Source organism: Homo sapiens, chromosome 4 (assembly GCF_000001405.40).
Source record: "Homo sapiens chromosome 4, GRCh38.p14 Primary Assembly".
Taxonomy (NCBI): Eukaryota; Metazoa; Chordata; class Mammalia; order Primates; family Hominidae; genus Homo; species Homo sapiens.
Window position 1 is genome coordinate 167,895,959 of NC_000004.12, and position 23,407 is coordinate 167,919,365.

The 23,407-nt window shown below is 35.5% G+C and overlaps 2 annotated features.

Annotated features, from left to right (window-relative positions):
• Nucleotides 866-2,065: an enhancer, noted in NCBI's record as "MED14-independent group 3 enhancer chr4:168817975-168819174 (GRCh37/hg19 assembly coordinates)". NCBI's record gives its function as "activates an origin of replication core promoter dependent on BRD2, BRD4, P300/CBP and CDK7 cofactors, and independent of MED14, by STARR-seq in HCT116 cells {active_cell/tissue: HCT116}" and the evidence as "EXISTENCE:reporter gene assay evidence [ECO:0000049][PMID:35650434]".
• Nucleotides 1,028-1,785: an enhancer, noted in NCBI's record as "OCT4-NANOG-H3K27ac hESC enhancer chr4:168818137-168818894 (GRCh37/hg19 assembly coordinates)". NCBI's record gives its function as "activates a minimal SCP1, AML or CMV promoter by ChIP-STARR-seq in naive and primed H9 embryonic stem cells {active_cell/tissue: H9 hESC(naive and primed)}" and the evidence as "EXISTENCE:reporter gene assay evidence [ECO:0000049][PMID:30033119]".

A 23,407-nucleotide genomic window follows, 5' to 3' on the forward strand; every position in this document is an offset into this window, starting at 1 on the left:
GAGTACTACATGACGGGAATACCCCATGGGACAAAAGAGTCTGAACAACAGACTTCAGCCCTAGACCTTCCCTCTGACAGAGCTTACCCAAATGAGAATGTAGCAGGACGAGCTGCAGACAAAACCTCTCAGGCACCGAGTTATGGAAGGAAGGGCTTTATTCACCTGGGAGCATCGGCAAGCTACTGCCTCAAAATCCGCGCTCCCCGAATGCTCAATTTCTGTCCCTCTTAAGGGCTCACAACACTAAAGATTTCACATGAAAGGGTCGTGATTGATTTGAGCAAGCAGGCGGTACGTGACAGGGGCTGCATGCACGGGTGGTCAGAGAGAAACAGAACAGGGCAGGGAGTTTCACAATGCTCTTCTATACAATGTCTGGAATCTATGAATAACATCGGTTTCTAAGTTATGAATTGATTTTTAACTACTGGATTTAGGCGAGGCAGGCCCAGGCCTGGTTTCAGGCCTGGTGCCAGGCTGCCTGTCTTTGGTTTTACTTCCTTGTTGTTTTTCTTAAAACAGGTACTGAGTATAAAACAATATAAAACAATATGAGAGGGTCTCTCTCCTCCCTCAAAAAAGAACCAGAAAAACAACCCTGGTAATATGACAAAACAAGCCTTTTCAGTACCCCCCAAAAATCACACTGGTTCACCAGCAATGGATCCAAACTAAGAAGAAATCCCTGATTTACCTGAAAAAGTATTCAAAGCTTAGTTATTAAGCTAATCAGGGAGGGGCTAGAGAAAGGCAAAGCCCAATGCAAGGAAATCCAAAAAATTATACAAGAAGTGAAGGGAGAAATATTCATGGAAATAGATAGTTTGAAGAAAAAAAACAATAAAAAATTCAGGACACTGTGGACACACTTTTAGAAATGCAAAATGCTCTGGAAAGTCTCAGCAATAGAATTGAACAAGTAGAAGAAATTCAGAGTTTGAAGACAAGGACTTCGAACTAACCCAATACAAGAAAGAAAAGAAAAAAGAATAAGAAAATATGAACAAAGGCTCCAAGCACTAAACAGTTTATCAAGACAGAAAGTCAAAAAAAAAAAACAATAGATTTAAACTACACCTTGGAACAAATGGACCTAACAGACCTCAGGTGATCCGCCAGCCTTGGCTTCCCAAAGTGCTAGGATTACAGGTGTGAGCCAAAGTGCCCGGCCCAGAATTTATTAAGCAAAAGGAAAGCTCTCAACAAAAAGAGCAGTCCTGCACTCAGGTTTCCACCTCACAAATTGAATTCCAGGCCACCACACAGGAGTTGATGAGGCCAGGCTCCTCCCCAGTATACAGCACAAATTCCTGGTGGCTCTACCCCATTCCTCCAGTGCATGTTCGCCTCCGGTTCATTGTGGGCATGCCCAGGCAAGACCCTGCACTGGTTCCTTTATCTGCACAAAAACATCTGGTGTGAATACTTGCGGAGCAGGTCAGAGGTTCTCCCGGGGGCCCTTCCCTATTTCCTAGGCATTTGCCTGTCTCCTGCCTCTATCAATGGTAAAAATACCTTTCTCACAGTTTAAGAGATAATGTATGAAAAGCAACCTACAAAGTCTAAAATACAAACTCATTAAAAAAAAAAAGCACACGAATCACCAGAACCTTTGTGCCTATGATCATGTTTACCAAAGAAAAGTAACCAAAGCTGTGAGTTATCATTCAGAAATTATCTATATCTGTCTGGCCATTTGATACCTCTAAGTCCTTAACCTTGTTATTTTAGTGGATGACATTGTTTTATCATTAACAAGAATACTTTTCCTTGCATCCAAATGAAATTTACTTGTTTCTATTTTATTATGTTTTTTAAATTACATAGTCTAAGGATAAATTAATATTTTTCAGAGAGTAAAACTCGATGGAGGTAATGCTGTTTTACATTTTCCATTTTATAAATTTTTAGAAAAATCAGTGACTGCTTTATTTCTCCTGATTGTAAAATCATACATATTGATTATTGAAAAGTTGGACAATATGAAAATTATAAAGAAGATAATGAAGATGTCTTTAAAATCACACAATAGAGATAAATATTGGTTATAATGCTGTTCAAGATTTTTGTGTTTGGAAAATATATCAGACTCTGAATTACTCATTGACTATATAATTTACCATTAACCATTTTCATTATCATTAAATGATTTTAAACACCAATTTGTAATTTCTACAAATCATTTCTATACATTTACATATCATAATTTCTTCATCCCTTGGGGCATTTTACTTTTGCCTATTTATTTAAGAAGTGAATTTGTATGTAAAGAATATATAAATAAGATATTCATGAAGACAAAAGCAGACACTAATAACTAGAAAACCAAAAATTTGGAATAGGTAAATATGAAAAACAGTTAGCTTAAAAAGTACAATAAAATAATCATTAGGAAAATTTCCCAGGTTTTAAATCCCAATAATGTTTTGTGCAATTCTTCAAAGAATTTTAAGCATTTTGGTTCACTCTACAGTCTAAAAGCATTAATTGCCTATAATGTATCTGATCAGATACTATCCAAAGCACTCATGTAGAAAAAGGTAGAGAAGTTCCTATCCTCATTGAGATCATTTTCTAGTGGAGAACATAGTCAACAAACAAGCGATTTAGTACCTAAGCTACACTTTATTTGATATAGTCTATAGAAAACAAAGCAGGTTACAGGGTGAAAAAGGGACATATAATTGTATTTCAGTTAGGGCAGTCAGAAAGACCTTCTTGGGTAGGGTGACTTTTGAACAGAAAAGAAAATTTCAGATGGAAAGTATTTGACAAATCCCTACTCAACTGATCTATTCACGGATTTTTTTTTACTCAAGTAATTGATAAGTACCAGACACTTCTCTAGGTGCCAGGGACAACATAATACTAAAAACAAAACTCCTGTCTTCATGAAGTTTACATACTTGTTGAGAAGACATGTGATCAATAAATGAAAGAAAGAAAGAGAGAGAGAAAGAAGAAAAAGTAAGAAAGAAAGAAGAGAGAGAGAGAAAGAGAGAAAGAAAAAAAGAAAGAAAGAAGGAAAGAAAGAAAAAGAAAAGAAAGGAAGGAAGGAAGAGACATGAGAAGTACCATTTTAGTGAGAATGGTCAGGGAACACTTCTCCGAAGAGGCAATATTTCTACAGGGTTATGATTAAAGAACTGAGGTCTAAGAATATCTACAGTCACTGAAGTGGACCAGGTTTCTTATGTTTAAAAGATAGAAATATGGCAAAATGGAATGACCAAAGGGAGAATAACAGGAAATAAGAAGAGAGAGGTATCCAAGAGCTAAATCATATATATCATCTTAAGACACGGTAATCATTAAATGATTTTGAGCAGAAGACTGACTTTACTTGTTTATTCCTCTCAAAAAAAAAAATTACTCAAAATGTTTGGAGAACACTCTATGGAGAAGCAAGGGTAGAACCATGTAGTAGTCAAGGTAAGAGATAATATTAATCTATTAGTATAGTGGTAGAATTGGCAACAATTAGTCGAATTAGTGACATATATTAAAGTAGAGCTCAGAGAATTCATGGATTAATTATATGTGTGTTGTGCATAAGAAATAGAGATTAAGAATATGTCCAAGGCTTTTGACCCAGTGAAATGGCTAAGCAAGATGGAATTCTTAGATGAAAAATATTGAAGGAGAAATACTTTCAAGTAAAGGGCAAATAAAAAGTTTCAGTTAAAAATACCAAGCATACTATTATTGAATGCCTCATATATTTTTAAGAGAAAATGCCTTCATTTAGAAAAAAATTCAGGACTTAACACTTCCATAGATAACAATAGTAATATTTGGACAAAATATAAAAGTAATCATTGGATCTTTCTCTTCTGGCCATGAGGAACAAGATATACCTTCCTGCTAAAAACCATTTTTTTAAATGACAAAATATAAGAAATGGTGGTTTTCAGGCATTGGACCTGAGTCAGTAAAGGATAGTGTTTTCTGAAAGAGAGGGAAAGAAATAAGGTGAGATCTATGATTGCCATAACTTATTATATGGATATTTGTAGATCACAGTGCAAAAAAAGAAAACCTGCTTCGGGCAATAGAGCTGAGAATCCAGGGAGGCTTGAGTCTGTAGGGCAGAGTATCAGAGAGTTTAGAGAGATGTGTGAAAGAGAGTGTGAGAGCTAAAGCAAAAGAGAGGGAGAGTGAGTGCACACAAGTGCCTTGGAGATCAGCAGAGGATACAGTTCAAGTTTTCTGCTGAGAACTGATCAGAGAATATGTTTGGGGAAAATACCCACATGTTGGGAAAAACAACCCAAAGTAAGAGATGGGGCAACTCTTGTACGTCACATAGGGCAGAAAATAGTTTATGTTCCCACCTAGAGAAATAGAAAAAATGCTTTAATTATATTCAAAATTTTCAGCACCCTTGCCAGAATAATTGATAAAATTATTAGACATTAGCAAAGGTACAGAAAACTTGACCAATACTACGTATTGACTCTATGTGAATGATATTTATAAAAACTCCACCAGTCAATAGCATATTCCATATTCTTTCAAGTTTACTTTGAACACTATCAACATATATCATATTCCACACCATAAAACAAGTCTTAATAAATTTAAAATTATTTAAATCATACTAAACATATCCTGTGATGGCCATGGAATTAAATTGGAGCATGCTAATAGAAAGGCATCTGGAAAATCCCAAAATATTTTGAAAGTAATTAAAATATTTCTTAATAACTCACAAGTACCAATAAAGAGATTAGAATTTTAAAATTATAAATAAAGATAAAAAGATATCACAATTTGTGGGAAGTGCATAAAGCAGAACTTAGAGGGAAATTTATGGCACAAGGAAAATATCACAAATCAAGAACTTAAGATGCTACCTTAAAAACTAGACAAAGTAATGGAAATTTAAAACCAAAATAAATGTAAAAAAGACAAAATTAAAGAGCATATATTAATCACATTTTTAAAACGAAAAAAATAGAGAAAAGTAATGAAATTAAAGCATGTTGTTTGAGAAGATCAATAAAATCAATAAACCTCTTGTCAGATCGATCTGGAAATAAAGAGGGAAGACACAAACCACACATATTAGGAGTGACTGAGTGGATATTAGCATAGATCCTACAGATTTTGAAACAGTAAGTGAATGTTACTAACAGCATTAAGTCAAAAAATTGATAACTTAGACAAAATGAACAAATCACTTGAAAGATACGAGCTGGAAATATGAGTACAGAAATAATAGATGATGGCATCACTACTTTTCTATCAGTCTCAGAAATTAAATTTTGAAGACCGAGTGTGGTGGCTTCTGCCTGTAATCCCAGCATTTTGTGAGGCCAAGGCAGGTGAATAGCTTGAGCCCAGGAGTCTGAGACCAGCCTGGACAACACGGTGAAACCCTGTAGCTACAAAAAATACAAAAATTAGCCTGGAATGGTAGCATGAGCCTGTTGTCCCAGCTACTCAGGAGGCTGGGGTGTGAGGATCACTAGAGCCTGGGAGGCCGAGGCTGCACTGAGCTATAATTGTGCCCCTGCACTACAGCCTGGGTGACAGCGTGAGACCCTGTCTCAAAAAAATAAAATAAAAGACATGTTAAATTTTGAGTTAAAATCATTCCAAGAAAGCACACATAAGGCTTTGTTACTGATTTACAACAAACATACAAGAATGGAATCATAACAATCCTATACAACATAATTTAAATTATTTTACAAAGTCGGTATTACTGATACTTGATGCAGATTGAGATATTACAAAAAAGGGAAATTACAGACCAAGATTGTTAATTAGCATATATGCAAAAATCCTAAAAACATAATTAATTGAATTCAACAACATATGAAAAGAAAGTACATGATGATCAAGTGCAAGGAATTCGATGCTCATTTAACATTTGAAAATCACACAATGTAATTCATCACGACGGTATAAAGGCAAAAAACTGAGTGTTTCAACAGATGCAGAAAAATTATTTCACTGTAAACTACACTCATTCTTGATAAAACGCTCAGCCTGGTTGGGAGCAGCATCTACAAACACACACATGCACACAAATACACACACACAGCTAATATCATCCCTAATTATGAAAGACTCTGCACTTTCTCTTTAAGGCTAGGAACAAGGCAAAGATGGCTGGTGCCACCACCTCTCTTCACATGTTCTGGGGTCCTCATCGGGATGTAAGGGGAGAAACAATCGTAATCATAAGGGAAACAGAAAAACAATGTAATGGCATGGAGATTGTAAAGGAAGACCTATACTGTCATGATTCAAGGATGACATGATTTTCCGTAGATACAGTTTTAAAGCATCTACAAAAAGCTTCTAAAATTAATAAGTTAATTTATTAAATTTGTGTGACTATAGATTATTTTTATACATGAGATATATGAAAAGTATGTTCATAATGTTTAGTTTCATTTTCCAGATAAAGTTTCATTCCAAATTTTTATATACTTTCCATTGTTTACATATATTGTAAAGATAAGGCCAATAAAAATCAATTGCATTTTTATAAATAAGCAACTAAGATTTTAAATAAATTTTAAAATAAATGCTATTTACTGTGGTTTCCAACAACATGAGATACTTTTAGAGAAATTTAACAAGACGTGCAAGAACAGTAGGTTGAAAACAATAAAGTCAATGAGAGAAATTAGATGAAACCAAACATATGAAGATATACACCATGAATAGAAAATAGAAAACTTCGTATTGTTAATTTGGGAATTCTTTCTATATTTATTTATAGATTCAATGCACTCCCAATTAAAATGTCAAAGGCTTAGGGTAAAAACGTTCTAATTTATTTTAAATTTGATATAAAAACACATATAACCTAGATGGTGCAAAATAATTTTTTAAAGCAATATCAAAGCTAAAGTTAAATAGCTATACTCCCTGATTTCAAGACTTAAAGCTTTGAAACTGTAATATCTGATACCGTGATGTTGAAGAAAGGATAGACAAAATACATCAATTGAACAGGAGAGGGAATCCAGAAATTATGGAAATGCACACATTCAATTTTGTGGAGGATATATGACTTTTGACACTTTAAAGCAAAATGATTTAAGTATTAAAATAAGAGGCCTTTGATGAGAAAATTGGTGAGGTGCTCAAACATAATTTTAGAAGAGGTTACTTCTTATCATCCTGCTTTTGTAGAATGTTGCTGAAAATCATTGTTAGTTTCCTGGAACTATAATAATAAAGTGTCACTACTGAAGTGGCTTGAAACAATTCTTTTTTTTTTTTTCACAGTGTTAGAGGCCAGAAATACAAAATTAAGGTGTCAATAAGGCCATGGGCTCTCTGGAAGCTATAGGGGAGAATCTATTTCATGTCTTCTCTGAGCTCCTGATGTTGCCAGCCAATTCTGGTCATTTCCTGGCTTGTGGATGCATCACTCTCATCTCTGTCTCTGTCATCGTGTGGTGTTCTTGCCTGTGCCTATGTGTTTGTGTTCATTCTCTTCTTATAAGGATTCCAGTCATACTGTATTAGGGTCCATTCTTCCAGTATGACCTTATCTTAACCACATATGCAGTGACCCTATTTACAAATAACTCATATTCTGAGATACCAAGAGTTAGAACTTGATAAAACTCTCAGCCTGCTTGGGCTGAGAGCATATCTTTTATTGAGGGGAAGAGGAAAGCACAACTCAACTGAAACAACTATGTTGCAAATGAATCACCATATGATGCATTCTTTATTTGTTCTAACAATCATCACTTAGTCATGACTATAGATTATTTTTATACATGAGATATATGAAAAGTGTGTTCACAATGTTTAGTTTCATTTTCCAGATAAAGTTTCATTCCAAATTTGTATGTACTTTCCATTTTTTACATATATTGTTAGTTTGAAATGTTATCCATTTGAATTATATTTATTTTAATGACTTTTATAATATTCCAGTTACTGTTACATATGGAGGACAAATTATTATGACTCAATCTTGTCTGTCTTTTAATAAAAATCAAGTTTATAACTAAAATAGGGAAGAATAAGCCTAATACATAAATAAATCATTGTTGAGGTTAAAAGTAACATTGTTGAGGTTAAAAGTAACTTTTTTTTTGAAACAGGTATTGAGGGTAAAATTGATTTATGAAAAATAGAAAATAAATACAATAGTCTCTGAAGAGATTTTAAAAAAATGATCAGTTTCTTTCATTAGGCTTAAAAGCCTGGAAGGATACTTTCTAATTACAGTTTAAAATAAATTGGAATTGCACTGTCAGACAGATGTAGCTAACGTCCCATAACCAATGACATGTATATGTCACCTTCAAGTAAAGACAACTCAGTGCTTCATCTGGGCTAACAAAATACTAATGTTAAACATAATGAACTTATTTCTCTGTTCTTACACTTACATAAAGTACATACAGTGCCACTTTCTGTACCCCAAGGTTGTAAATGTGTACTCATTGTTTCATAAGCCAATACAATTAGAAAACCAGAATGCACTACTACTATGAATTAAAAACATCATCAATTATCCAAACTCACTTAGAGGTGGGAAAGACCATAATTTAACATTTTAACATTTTAATAAAATCTTTAAAATGGAAACAGCCAAAATCCACATTGGAGAAATCATCTAGAAAATAGTGTCATTAGTATGATTAATCTTTTTAATGCTGAATTAGGGAAATGATAAGTGTCATTTAGCCAGCCTCAATTATGATGAGTGTTACTTTAACACAATAGGAGAACAGTATTTCAGAAGACTTGACCCCTTCTCTCAAAGGACTTTAATATCTATTTGAGAAAGGAAATTATCTTCTGTGTTGCTACCCAATGAATTCCATGTTTACATTTTACCTGCCACATCAGACAATCCTTAGCCACTCCAAGAATGCCATATATATATATATATATATATCCATTAGACAATTATAAAAGATGTACATGTAATGGGAATCCTTTAGCCACTTCAAGAATGCTATACCTATATGTGTGTGTGTGTGTATATATATATATATATATATATATATATGTGTGTGTGTGTATTGCATATATACACATGTGTATTCCGTATATACGCATATGTGTATTCCGTATATACGCATATATGTATATATACACACACATATACGCATATATGTATATATACACACACATATATGCATATATGTATATATACACACACATACACGCTTATATGTATATACACACACACATACACATATATGTATATATACACACACACATACACATATATGTATATATACACACATATACACATATATACACATATGTATATATACACACATATACACATATATGTATATATACACACATATACACATATATGTATATATACACACATATACACATATGAATATATACACACATATATACATATATGTATATATACACATACATATATGTATATATACACACCTATACATATATGTATATACACACATATGTATATACACACATATACATATATGTATATATACACATATATACATATATGTATATATACACATATATATACATATATGTATATATACACACACGTATGTATATAAGAATGCTATCTATGTGTGTGTATATATGTGTGTGTATGTGTGTGTATATAGATATATATATATATCTCCTTTGAGTTGTTTTTAATTGGCTTTATTATTGCCATCTGCAACAGCCATGTTGTGTCGGTCATAAAAATTTATTTCTAAAATCTCCTTCTAGGGAATGTAGTCAGTGACAGGAACAATGCTTTAAGATGAGGCAAAAAGTCTAGCTATATTTCACATTTGAATTAAACCACATTGATTAAACCATCTTTTACATTTGAGGAGAATAACCACTAATTAAATGTGCAAAATATGCTAGCAGTGACGTGCATTGGCAGCATCATCCCCATACGTATCTTTAATAATTCCAAAGACAATTGTCTTATAAATAGACAGATTTGAACTTCTAGTCTCTGGTCCGGCATGGAAGAAGTTCAGAACTCCCCAATCCATGCTAACAAGTACAAAGCTGAAAAACTTAATCAACAGCTCTTCCTAGATTCCTACGAGGAGTGAGGTCACAGGGCAAACCACGTCCCCAAACCTGGAGACACAGGCAAATGCAGAGAATCACAGCTTATAGGAGAATAAACCCATGAGCAGAAACGTCCATAGGAATCAGCACTGGGTTAGAAAAACCTGACTCTAATAGATGAGCTGCTGGACGATCACTGTGAACAAATGTGAGTTAAAAAAATCCAGAGGGGCCTATTGACGGCAGCCCTCACACTTTTGTGAGTTTTACCTCCAGGAGTTCTACCAGGATCTCACAGTGAATACTGGAGAAAAATCTGCTTATGCTTCTGGTGGACAGAGGGGAAAAATAACCATTTTGTAAACTACAAAGCATTCTGTTCTTCTTAGCAAGGTGTGCTCTCATAAGAGTCTATTTATACAGAGCCTGTCATTCTGGGTTTTGTTTGTTTGTGCTCATTTTTTTGTTTTCTTTTGTTTTGTTTTTTGAGACAGAGTCTCACTCGTCACCCAGGCTGGAGTGCAGTGGCGCGATCTCGGCTCACTGCAACCTCTGCCTCCCAGGTTCAAGTGATTTTCCTGTCTCAGCCTCCCGAGTAGCTGGGATTACAGGCATGCACCACCATGCCTGGCTAATTTTTGTATTTTTAGTAGAGACGGGCTTTCGCCATGTTGGCCAGGCTGATCTCGAACTCCTGACCTCAGATGATCCACCTCCCTCACCTCCCAAAGTGCTGGGATTACAGGCGTAAGCCACCATGCCCAGCCCATGCTGGGGTTTTATTACAGCCTAACTTACCTGGGACAGGAAAATATCTAACTCCAGCTGATTCTAGATTTCCACTTGGAAGAAGGAAAATACACAACTCCAGCCCCCTCTCACCTGTCACGTGGAAATAGAAAAACACCCAAATTCAACCCACTCTAGACATCCTTTTCCACCTGGGGGGATGGTGGGAGAAAACTGAGAGACATTTGTGAAGTTCACAGTCCAAAGTCACAGGATATCTAAAAGACTGGAACACATCATGGAATTAAAGAATGTTCTTCTCCCCCCACACATTGCTTCTGCATTACTAAGCACCTATTTACAGCCATTTGTTTTAACCAGTACATCATGTCCATCAGTTGGTAAAAGGATAAATAAACTATGGTACATGTAGACAATGGAATATTACTAATCACTCAAAAGAATGAGCTATCAAGCCATGAAAAACATGGAGGGAACTTATGCAAACTTAGTAAGGCATATTACTAAGTGAAAGAAGCCAATGTGGAAAGGCTATATACTGTATGATTACAACCCTGTGACATTCAGGAAAAGCCAAAACTATGGAGGCAGTAAAGAGATTAGTGGTTGCCAAGGGTCAAGGGGGTGGGAGGGATGAATAGAAGCACAGAAGATGTTTAGGTAATGAAAGTACTCTGGTGGTACTATACGGTGTAATGGTGGATACATGTAATTATGGATTCCTCCAGACTCATAAAGCATACAACACTGAGAGTGAACCCTACTGTAAACTATGGACTCCAGTAATAATTATTTGTCAATGTACATTCATTAATTGTAACAAATATACCCTCTGCTAGGGTATATCCGTAATGGAGAAGTCTATGCATTTATGGGGGCAGAGTATATATAGGAAATCTCTGTACCTTCTTAATTTTGCTGTGAACCTAAAACTGCTCTAAAAATATAGTCCATTAAAATTAAAAATAGGCAGATTTGTGTAATATTTCTTAGAGATAGAGATGGGTCTAAGAAGCAAAATAATGACCACTACCACAAAATTTCTCTTAAATTACATTATCTGTTTTAAAGGGCAAATAAATGCAGTATCTTTTAGAAACATCAGAATGAAGAGATAGCTGTCAAGTTACCTGCACAACTAACACATGCTTGAGCCAAATCTCTCTTTTTGCCATCTAACTTTGACTATTTATTGTACTACTGTATTTATATTATTATCATATTACTTACTATGTTATCTTAGCATAATCTGAAGCATACTTGCTGGGGAAGTAGCAACTGGTCATAAAACCCAGGCAACACATTGCAGAGTTTCAGAGACAGCCCTTTCTTTCTTTCAAAGGCAAAAATAGGCCCTTGACCTGTGAAAGGTAGTGAGAGAGAAAAGGGCATTCTTTCTATTATTATTAAGATCAAATGTGAATGGGACGGGTGTTAGGAAGTACTCCTATATTCCATCAACCACTGGACATGAAAAAGAGTAATGCCTCTCTTGCTATAATCTATCAGGATGAGCAAAAATAGAAATACAGGTGCCCTTCAATGTTCTCCTTTTTCTTATATATATTTAGAGTATTTGTTTATATTTATCTGTTTATAGTAATGCTTCACTTATTTTTCCCTGTGGGGAATAAGCCATTTCATTTGCAGGAATTCTCCAAATAAATGGAGTGTACTATTGTAAGCAGCAAAGGTAAACATTAAAAATATTTTTTGATGAACATCTTTCTAAAGTATATTATACATTTGTCTGCCTTTGAAAACAGAATATGCAGTTTTCTGCATTTCTAAGGACGTTTCAGATAAATTTTTGAAGCAATGACAACCTATCCTCCTGAAAATCTATCTCTTTGTTGATTATATTATTACCTTAGAAAACAAGGCTAGGAAATTGCTGTGAGTTTTCTGTGCTGATCTTCTCTGCCAGTGCCAACCAGGTTCTGGGTGAGTGCTTGCAATGATTGTCTGGTTGTGCATAGTGGAGTTAGGCATGAGGGGAGATGGACCCTTGGCATGAGTAAAGGAGCCACGAAAGAGTCAACATTAGCTAAGGAGAAAACAGAGAACCACCATTCCCCACATGCAAATCTGATGGAACAGGGTCAGAAGTAGGAGTTTTCAGATTGAGAGGCTAAGGGAGAATTCTGTGGATGAGTGATCATGGGCATTTTCCTGCCTTTCCAACCAAAAGGGCATTGAACTCATTTCTGTGAAAGTATTTCTACTCAACCCAGTGAACCCATCAGTGGCATTTAAACAAATACAAAGAAATACTAATGAAAATTTCAGGAAAAGCTGACATGACACTTCTAAAGCTTTCATATTAGTTCCAATGGCAAAGTAATGACAATGTATCAACACATTGATGGTGTAGCCCATTCAAAACCACAGGAAAGAAGGAATAATATCTATGAAGTCTTCTTATTAACTTTAACTTAAAAGGCATATAGATCATTTTGCTTGTTATCATAGAATGATAGACAAATCTAAAAAGGCAGGTCAGTGGGAACTGTAATTCAGCTGTATCCATGCCCCTTAACTTGTTCAGCTATATTTGAATGTCTAGCTATATCACAAGTTCAAATATCCTGCCTCCTCATTCCTGGAATATCATGTCTGTCCAGTGAAAAGGCATTATTCAGAGAGAAAATTATTTGTTGAGAGAAAAATACGAGTAACCAGTACTGTTCAAAAAAAATGTTAACAAGAAATCTGTACAACTGATATCAGAAAGTTCTCAACTGTCAAAAAAAAAAAAAAAACAGCTTGTTATCAGTTAAAGGAAACCTCTGACTTTTCATGTATGAATTCTATTTTTAGGAACAAATTCCATTTCCAGGCTCTTGATGAACTCACAAACCTTAAACTTATTCCTGCCAACAGATTTTGTCCCTTTATCTTATTTGTCTTGCGTATTTTATGTTATTTTATAAGTATCAGGAATTACATAAGCCTACCATCATATGGACAGTAACATTTTGTTAAGGATTAATTTGGACACTGATCATTCTTCTCTAAAACTGATGCATATAAGTCTGTGCAAATGAAAGCTTCCCAATCAAACATATAAACATAGTAACTTTATCTAGAGAGGTAAAATTGAGATCTCTTAGGTATTGTCATGACATGATGGGTAATTAGAAAACAATGTTATAAAAATAGTCTGAATGCAGTGGCTCACACCTAAAATCTCAGCACTTTGAGAGGCCAAGACAGGAGGATCACTTGAGGCTAGGAGTTCGAGATACCCTGGGCCACATAGCAAAACTGCATCTCTACAAAAAGTGAAAAAAATTAGCCAGTCACAGTGGCACACACCTGTAATCCTAGCTACATGGGAAGCAAAGGGAGGAGGTTTGAGCCCAGGAGTTAGAGGCTGCAGTAAGCTATAACCACACCACTGCACTCCAGCCTGGTAACAGAGCGAGACCCTGGCTTAATAATAATAATAATAGTGACAATGACAAGTCATTAGAAAATAATTCGTTTTACTGAAAATAAGTAGTTAGAAACCTATTACATGTTTCTTTCACCCAGTGAGTGGCATGTAAAGCAGTAATCTTCCCATTATCTCTTTTGGAAATAAAACATTAAAGAATTGACTTCTTATGTCAGTCTTATGACACAATGTTGACTGAACATTTTAATGAAAGTTGAAACTGAAATCCATGAGAACTATTGGGAGTTTTCAAATGATCTGTACAAGTAAGCGATGGCTAGAGATTGTCCTTTGCCCCCTCTATTTTCCCAGCCACAGCCTGGAGCATGTCCTCAATCTTGCATGCCAACTTGCTATAATAGCTTTCAAATTCTTCTTCCCACTTTTATCCCCCTCCTCCCTAAGATTTACCACAGCCTATACAACCCATCAAAATATGTTTCCTAGAAAACATGCTGAAAATCTCACATGGTTGCTCAGAAACAAGCAGTGATGCATGATTTATTAAGAGAATTTGTTGTCTTCATCATGAAAGTCAATACAATTTTCCATTATGACAGTTCTCTAACACGGAATGTTCGCTCCCCTCTTCTCTGCTAAACCAAGCCCTATATTTTACTCACTCTGCACCTCCTACATTAAACTGTTTCTCTCAAAACAAATCTTATGGTTATAATTCCCCTTATTTTCCTCCCCTAAGCACTTTATGCTACATGAATCTCACTCTCACAATTTTTCATTTTGGAATAACGTTCTGTGAACTTTTGATTTATCTACCAACCTAAATGAGAAATTCTTATAAATCTGAATCAGAGTGCTTCTCTTTAATTTTGTTTGAGGTTTGGCATTTTTTTCTTTAATATAAGGGCATGAATATAGCGAGGCATATCAATCAAGCATCTAAGCAGAGACATAGCTAAAAGTGCACCTTAGCTGAACTGTCCTGGGAAAGTTGGTATTTTCAGATCAGTGGGATATCTGAAATGCCTCAGAGAAAAGAGAAAGGTATAGTGAAAAATACAAGAGTCTGACATAAGGTAAGAGCTAACTCTAAGTTTAGAGTTAAGTCTCTGCAGTCAACTACACTTCCAAATTCAATCATTGCTAAGGCATTGGTGCTTTTCTAATGAAATATTTTAACATTTTTGTTCTAGCTTTTGATGAAACAAGAGATTAAATACTTATGTGATACTGGGATATATTTATATATGCTGCCTAGTAATATAATATTATTAATAGCATGGTAAGCTACCGTGTATAGAACTTGTTATTGTTCACCTTTAATTTCAAGACAATGCTGTATAATATTAGTCTGTTCACCCAGATAGGTGGTGAACATTTGTGGTAGCTGAACATTTTTGAGAGACAGAGGCAGCATATTTAGTGAAGCAAATAAATTTAACATAAAAATACTCTTTGTACCTCTGGTAGAATTCAGCTGTGAATCTGTCTTGTCCTGCACTTTTTTTGGTTGGTAAGCTATTAATTATTGCCTCAATTTCAGAGCCTGTTATTGGTCTATTCAGGGATTCAGCTTCTTCCTGGTTGAGTGTTGGGTGGGTATATGTGTCCAGGAATGTATCCATTTCTTCTAGATTTTCTAGTTTATTTGCTTAGAGGGGTTTATAGTAATCTCTGATGGTAGTTTGTATTTCTGTGGGATCGGTGGTGATATCCCCTTTATCACTTTCTATTGTGTCTATTTAATTCTTCTCTCTTTTATTCTTTATTAGTCTTGCTAGCAGTCTATCAATTTTATTGATCTTTTCAAAAAACCAGACACACAAAAAGAGAATTTTAGACCAATATCCCTGATGAACATCCATGCAAAAATCCTCAATAAAATATAGGCAAACCAAATCCAGCAGCACATCAAAAAGCTTATCCACCATGATCAAGTGGGCTTCATCCCTGTTATGCAAGGCTGGTTCAACATACGCAAATCAATAAACGTAATCCAGCATATAAACAGGACCAAAGACAAAAACCACATGATTATCTCAATAGATGCAGAAAAGGCCTTTGACAAAATTCAACAGCCCTTCATGCTAAAAACTCTCAACAAACTAGGTATTGATGGGACGTACCTCAAAATAATAAGAGCTATTTATGACAAACCCACAGCCAATATCATACTGAATGAGCAAAAATCGGAAGCATTCCCTTTGAAAACTGGCACAAGACAGGATGCCCTCTCTCACCACTCCTTTTCAACATAGTGTTGGAAGTTCTGGCCAGGACAATCAGGCAGGAGAAAGAAATAAAGGATATTCAATTAGGAAAAGAGGAAGTCAAATTATCCCAGTTTGCAGATGACATGATTGTATATTTAGAAAACCCCATCTTCCCAGCCCAAAATCTCCTTAAGCTGATAAGCAACTTCAGCAAAGTCTCAGGATACAAAATCAACGTGCAAAAATCACAAGCATTCCTATACACCACTAACAGACAGAGAGCCAAGTCATGAGTGAACTCCCATTCACAATTGCTTCAAAGAGAATAAAATACCTAGGAATCCAACTTACAAGGGATGTGAAGGACCTCTTCAAGGAGAACTACAAATCATTGCGCAATGAAATAAAGGAAGACACAAACAAATGGAAGAAAATTCCATGCTTATGGACAGAAAGAATCAATATTGTGAAAATGGCCATACTGCCCAAGGTAATTTATAGATTCAATGCCATCCCCATCAAGCTACCAATGACTTTCTTCACAGAATTGGAAAAAACTACAGTCATATGGAACCAAAAAAGAGCCCGCATTGCCAAGACAATCCTAAGCCAAAAGAACAAAGCTGGAGGCATCATGCTACCTGACTTCAAACTATACTACAAGGCTACAGTAACCAAAACAGCATGGTACTGGTACCAAAACAGAGATATAGACCAATGGAACAGAACTGAGCCCTCAGAAATAATACCACACATCTACAACCATCTGATCTTGACAAACCTGACAAAAACAAGAAACAGGGAAAGGATTCCCTATTTAATAAATTATGCTGGGAAAAGTGGCTAGCCATAGGTAGAAAGCTGAAACTGGATCCCTTCCTTATACCTTATACAAAAATTAACTCGAGATGGATTAAAGACTTAAATGTTAGACCTAAAACCATAAAAACCCTAGAAGAAAACCTAGGCAATACCATTCAGGACATAGGCATGGGCAAGGACTTCATGACTAAAACACAAAAAGCAATGGCAACAAAAGCCAAAATTGACAAATGGGATCTAATTGCACTAAAGAGCTTCTGCAAAGTAAAACAAACTACCATCAGAGTGAACAGGCAACCTACAGAATGGGAGAAAATTTTTGCAATCACCCATCTGACAAAGGGCTAATATCCAGAATCTACAAAGAACTCAAACAGGCAGGGCACGGTGGCTCATGCCTGTAATCCCAGCACTTTGGGAGGCTGAGGCAGGTGGATCACAAGGTCAGGAGATTGAGTCTATCCTGGCTAACATGGTGAAACCCCGACTCTACTAAAAATACAAAGAAATTAGCCAGGCATGGTGGCGGGTGCCTATAGTCCCAGCTACTCTGGAGGCTGAGGCAGGAGAATGGCGTGAACCCAGGAGGCAGAGCTTGCAGTGAGCCGAGAATGCACCTCTGCACTCCAGCCTGGGCAACAGAGTGAGACGCCATCTCAAAAAAAAAAAAAAAAGAGAAAAGAACTCAAACAAATTTACAAGAAAAAAATCAAACAACCCCATCAAAAAGTGGGCAAAGGATATGAACAGACACTTCTCAAAAGAAGACATTTATGCAGCCAACAGACACATGAAAAAATGCTCATCATCACTGGTCATCAGAGAAATGCAAATCAAAACCACAATGAGATATCATCTCATACCAGTTAGAATGGTGATCATTAAAAAGTCAGGAAACAACAGGTGCTGGAGAGGATGTGGAGAAATAGGAACACTTTTACACTGTTGGTGGGACTGTAAACTAGTTCAACCATTGTGGAAGTCAGTGTGGCAATTCCTCAAGGATCTAGAACTAGAAATACCATTTGACCCAGCAATCCCATTACTGGGTATATACCCAAAGGATTATAAATCATGCTGCTATAAAGACACATGCAAAGGTATGTTTATGGTGGCACTATTCACAATAGCGAAGACTTGGAACCAACCCAAATGTCCATCAATGATAGACTGGATTAAGAAAATGTGGTACATACACACCGTGGAATACTATGCAGCCATGAAAAAGGATGAGGTCATGTCCTTTGTAGGGACATGGATGAAGCTGGAAACCATCATTCTGAGCAACCTATCACAAGGACAGGAAACCAGACACCGCATGTTCTCACTCATAGGTGGGAACTAAACAATGAGAACATCTGGACAGGACACAGAGTGGGGAACATCACACACCAGGGCCTGTTGTGGGGCAGGGGGAGGGGGTGGGATAGCATTACAAGAAATACTTAATGTAAATGACGAGTTAATTGGTGCAGCACACCAACATGGCACATGTGTACATATGTAACAAACCTGAACATTGTGCACATGTACCCTAGAACTTAAAGTATATAAAAAAAAATAAATACTCCAGGACCCAGAGACAAATCGGAAAGTTCCAAATTCTTAAGAGTCATGTTCGTCCCCTCCTGACCTGCTCCAGTACTTCAAATTTAACTTTTGTAATAAACTTCCCTTTCCCATACCTTCTCCCATTTCATTTTTCTATATGAAGAAACAAGCTACAATATCTAATAGCCTAATGTGCTTATTCACCGAAGGAGAATTTAGTTTGAGGAGAATTCTAAGGCAAGCACTAGTAAGAGAATGATCTCCATCTTGCTGCCTTAAAAACAAACACATAGCACTACACAATGAGTTTGTAGATCATACTTATGCTATGGGAAAAAGATTGCCACCAGATGACTATCACTTAACGAATATATCCTTTGCGCAAATGAAAAGAAATGAAATTTGGAGTGTGAGAGAACAAGAGATCATTTGACAATAAAATTTAGATTTGAGTTTTTTCCAAGATATCTTTATCACACTTGAGAGTAATCCAATTAACCTACTTGAAGTAAAAGCTTCCTTCCACACAAAGGAAAGAAATGTATTCTAAATAAGAGGATTTTCAGACTCTGTTATATCCTATTCTTAGAGAGAACTAAGCAACTAGAATAGCACTCCAGATTTGGTTAGTTCAACCCAAAGTACATAAAAAGAGAACACATAATTCAAACAACTTAAATAGACTTCTTAAACAGAAGAAGCGATTTGTATATCCAGTACAATTTTTAAAAAACAAACAATAAAAACAATAGGTAAATGGCACTTACCTTGGTCCTTCAAAAGCACACTTACAAAAACTAAGTGAAAGAAAAAGCCCAATAAACTCACCTGAATCCAGAATTCATTAATCTAGTGGCATTTTACTTTATAAAACTATTTTAGAGCAACTTTTTCTTCTCAAATGTGAAGATTTTAAGTCATCAAGCCATAGTTTTAGACTATATAGATACTCAAATGTCTGTAATCTATGAGAGTAAAGGAAATGTCATCTCTCAGTGTTTGAGACACCGTTACACTAATTGTTTAAAATGGTAATGAACTACCAAACATTGAGCATCATCTCGGTACAAACCACTGATCTAGGTGTTGAAATGTTCTTGTTTGAATTAGTTTAATTACTACATTTAAAAAAATTATAAGTATAATTAACTATAATTCAAAACCCAACAAATAAGTTACTATCAAAGGACAAAGGAAGGGAAATCATTTAAGATAGAATTTTCAACCTAATTGAACATATTTTCTATATGTTTCTTTCATTTGGTTTTTGTAAGTGTACTTTTGAAGGACCAAGGTAAGTGCCATTTACCTATTGTGTTGCTATATATTTGTTTTGAAGGCAGAAAGATGGAGATTATTTCTCTTGTAGTTATCTAAATTCTAAGTGTGCACAATTTCATGGATATAGCCCAACATTTAATAATATTAGGAATGGCCAATTTATCATCAAAACAACACTAGAGACATGGAGCCTCATTTAAGCCTCCTAGCACAATTTCTTCTGCTGGATATTACTATTTATTAATCTCTTACCTCGATGTTTGAAAGCTTAGCTGAGAAGAATATAACATGATTAATTAGAGTAGACAAATCTCAGAAAAGATAGCATAAATACCTACATATACTTTAAGAAATTTGTCATAGACTTCTGTTTCAGAAATGGGACAGTATAAAGTGACAAATTTGTCTTCTCACTCCTGGAAAAACAGCCATTTTTATTTATAATTATACTAAAATCCTTCTTTTTTGGAGCTCCATGGGCCCTAAATACTTACTATCAAATGTCTGAGAAACCTCCAAAGCTGCTTCCATTTGGTAATTTTTTTTGGATCCAAGAAAAGAAAAATAAATTTTCATTTTCCTCTCTCTTCCCGCTTTTTTCAGCTCATTTAATCTTTGTTGCCTTTCAAATTCCACAAACATGTTATTGAGAAACCTCTTGTGAAATGCATGTTTTTTTTCACTGAGCATTTCTTAAGTACCTGCAATTTACTGGTAACAAGTTCTGGACAGAAATGTTTGTCAGAAAATTTTGATAATGGATTTCATTAGCTCCCCTTTATTGGGGTGGAATAAAACTCAGGCACAGCTTAAGTAATTTACTGTCATGAAGACAGTAAGCAAAAGACCCAGGGGAACACTCTAGACATTTCTAACACAGCTTAGTGTGCTCTTCTAACTTTCTATTTAGAGAAAAAAACAAAATAGACCAGCAAACAAACAAACAAAAAAAACCACCTCCTGAAACATTTTCTCAGAGACCAAAGGCTGTGGTACTGCATCCTTATTAAGTATCCTATCAAGTAAGAAAAAATAGTTCTGGAAGGGACCATGTGGGTCATGCATCTTACTTGGCTTCTTTATTCTAACAAATAGGATTTTGGTTCAAAGAAAAGGAGGAATTAGAAATCACAGTGAATAATAATTGGGGTGTGTGTGTGTGTCTGTGTGTGTGTGTGTGTGTGTTTGATTCAAACATAACCCCAACAGATCACAAAAAAACCTGGACCCATGTGAAACACTGCAGATACAGAGTTGTTTAAAGCAATTCCAGCCTTTCAGGCTCAAACTACAAGTCCGCTTACCTGTGAAAGGCAGTGAATGTAGTCAATGTACAGTGCCGTGGCCAATAGACCTGGAAGCAAGCCTGGCTCATTGCAGGTACTAAATGAATATTTTTCAAATTAAATTGACTTGAGTTAAATGTAAAACCTTATTTTTCAACAACAGATTTTTTTTAACAAGCGCCTTATTAAATATTTCATTTTGATTAAAACATCAGAACATCTATTCTATATATGATAGCAAAAGAGTTGAAAAGAAAATTATAATTAGTTTACCAGCTGGGCACGTAACATTTTTTGTTTGTAATGCATAAGGAAACAGCATTGATAGGCATGCTCAAAAATATGGCAATAATGAGATAATGAGTAACAAAGTTAGAGGCTGATGTTCTCTCTTCATATAACAATTCTTTCTGTGGCTGAATTTCATTCCACATGTCTAATATAAAATACCTCTAATAATGCAAAAACTATCATATGAATTCTCATTTATGTTTGAGGCTACTATCAGACAGAGGGGTATCATGGCTAGAGCAAAATAAAACTGTTTTTGAAGTCAGAGAGGACAGTATGAGTCCCGTCTGTGCTACTTATATCCTAAGTGAGCCTGGGCTAATATTATTTTGGATTGTCATAATTCTACAAATTAGTTTCCATTGCAGGAACTTTATAGAGACTGGTGAAGTCTGACAGAATTAAAGAATATGAGGTTTGCATGAAATAAAAAGGGCAAATAGAATTAAACTGAAAAAAAAATGCTCCTTTGAATATAGCCTGAGGACTCAACTGTTACAGGACCAACAGGTTTGTATGCCTGCTGCACAGTAAGAGAGCAATAAACTGAAACAGCAGGGTTTGCAGCAGAGAAAGAGTTTAATGACTTCAGGGTGCCAAGAGGAGATGGGAGGAGACTTTTAAATGTATCTCCCTGAGGATTTCCGGGCTGTGGTTTTTAAGGGGATCATGGAGGGTAAGGGGCTGGTAAATTGGGGTCATTGCTTGGTTGGGGCAAGGGGAATGAAATCATCAAGATGTGGAAACTGCATTCTTTGGTGATTCAGCTCCTCATGGGATCCTTCAGATCAGCTGACATCAATAGTTTCACTTGTATTCAGGAGCCAAAAGAATATCTCAAAGGGAAACTTAACATTTTATAATGTTCAAGTTGTTATCTACAGAGCAGTTAGGAAGAATCACAATCTTGTAGCAAGGGTCTATATGATTCTGAGGCACCCATGAGGAAGGGGTCAGAGAGCACTAGCACTAATAATTAATGTTGAACGTGTTGCAAGCTTGGTTTATTTTTATTTCTCCCCCTTCCTTCTTCTCTGATTAATTTTATGTTTATAGGGACAGTTTCACAACTACATCTTGGGTCAGACCTTCACTACCATTCCAGGCAATGGTGCTACCTTGTCATGGAGATGCTACTGAGCTCATCCCAATATTGACTCAAACTGGGATGAGATAGATGATGTCCACTGGGTAAAATACAGTACAATTTCATACTCACAGTTTGATTGCACTAAATATGTGACAAATTTACACATGTTTAAGAAATGTAGAGCCAATTGAATCCGAATGAGAGAGGGATTATTGTTCTCTCTTATTGAGTACCCGATTATGTGGTGCCATCTGATACAGATTCTATAAACAGAATTTAAAAATAGAAAGATTGTTACTTCTTGCATCTTCTTTACTTCTAAAAGATCATATATTCCTTTGTAGAGGATAATATTTTCAAATAAGGATTTATTTCATTTTTCCTCTTTACTACATGGGATGATGTCCAAAAGAACAACCATTCATAAATAAAAGATTCCCAGATAATCACATATCCTTTAAGTCACCAAAATGGATTTGAGTAGCAAAAGTCACAACACTAGATATATTACACAGATTGTCCAGGCTTTTCTTTAAATTTATTTGTCGGCCCTTTTAATGACTAAATTATCATCCTTTGTTTTTCTCTCTGATGAGTGTACTTCTAACACTTTTGTTAGAGTAGCAGATAGTAAAGTTGGTGAAAAAATAAATACTCTTTCTTTGGTTTTTGAACAGCAGAAATCCGTTAGAAAAACTCTTTCCAAATAATTAATATC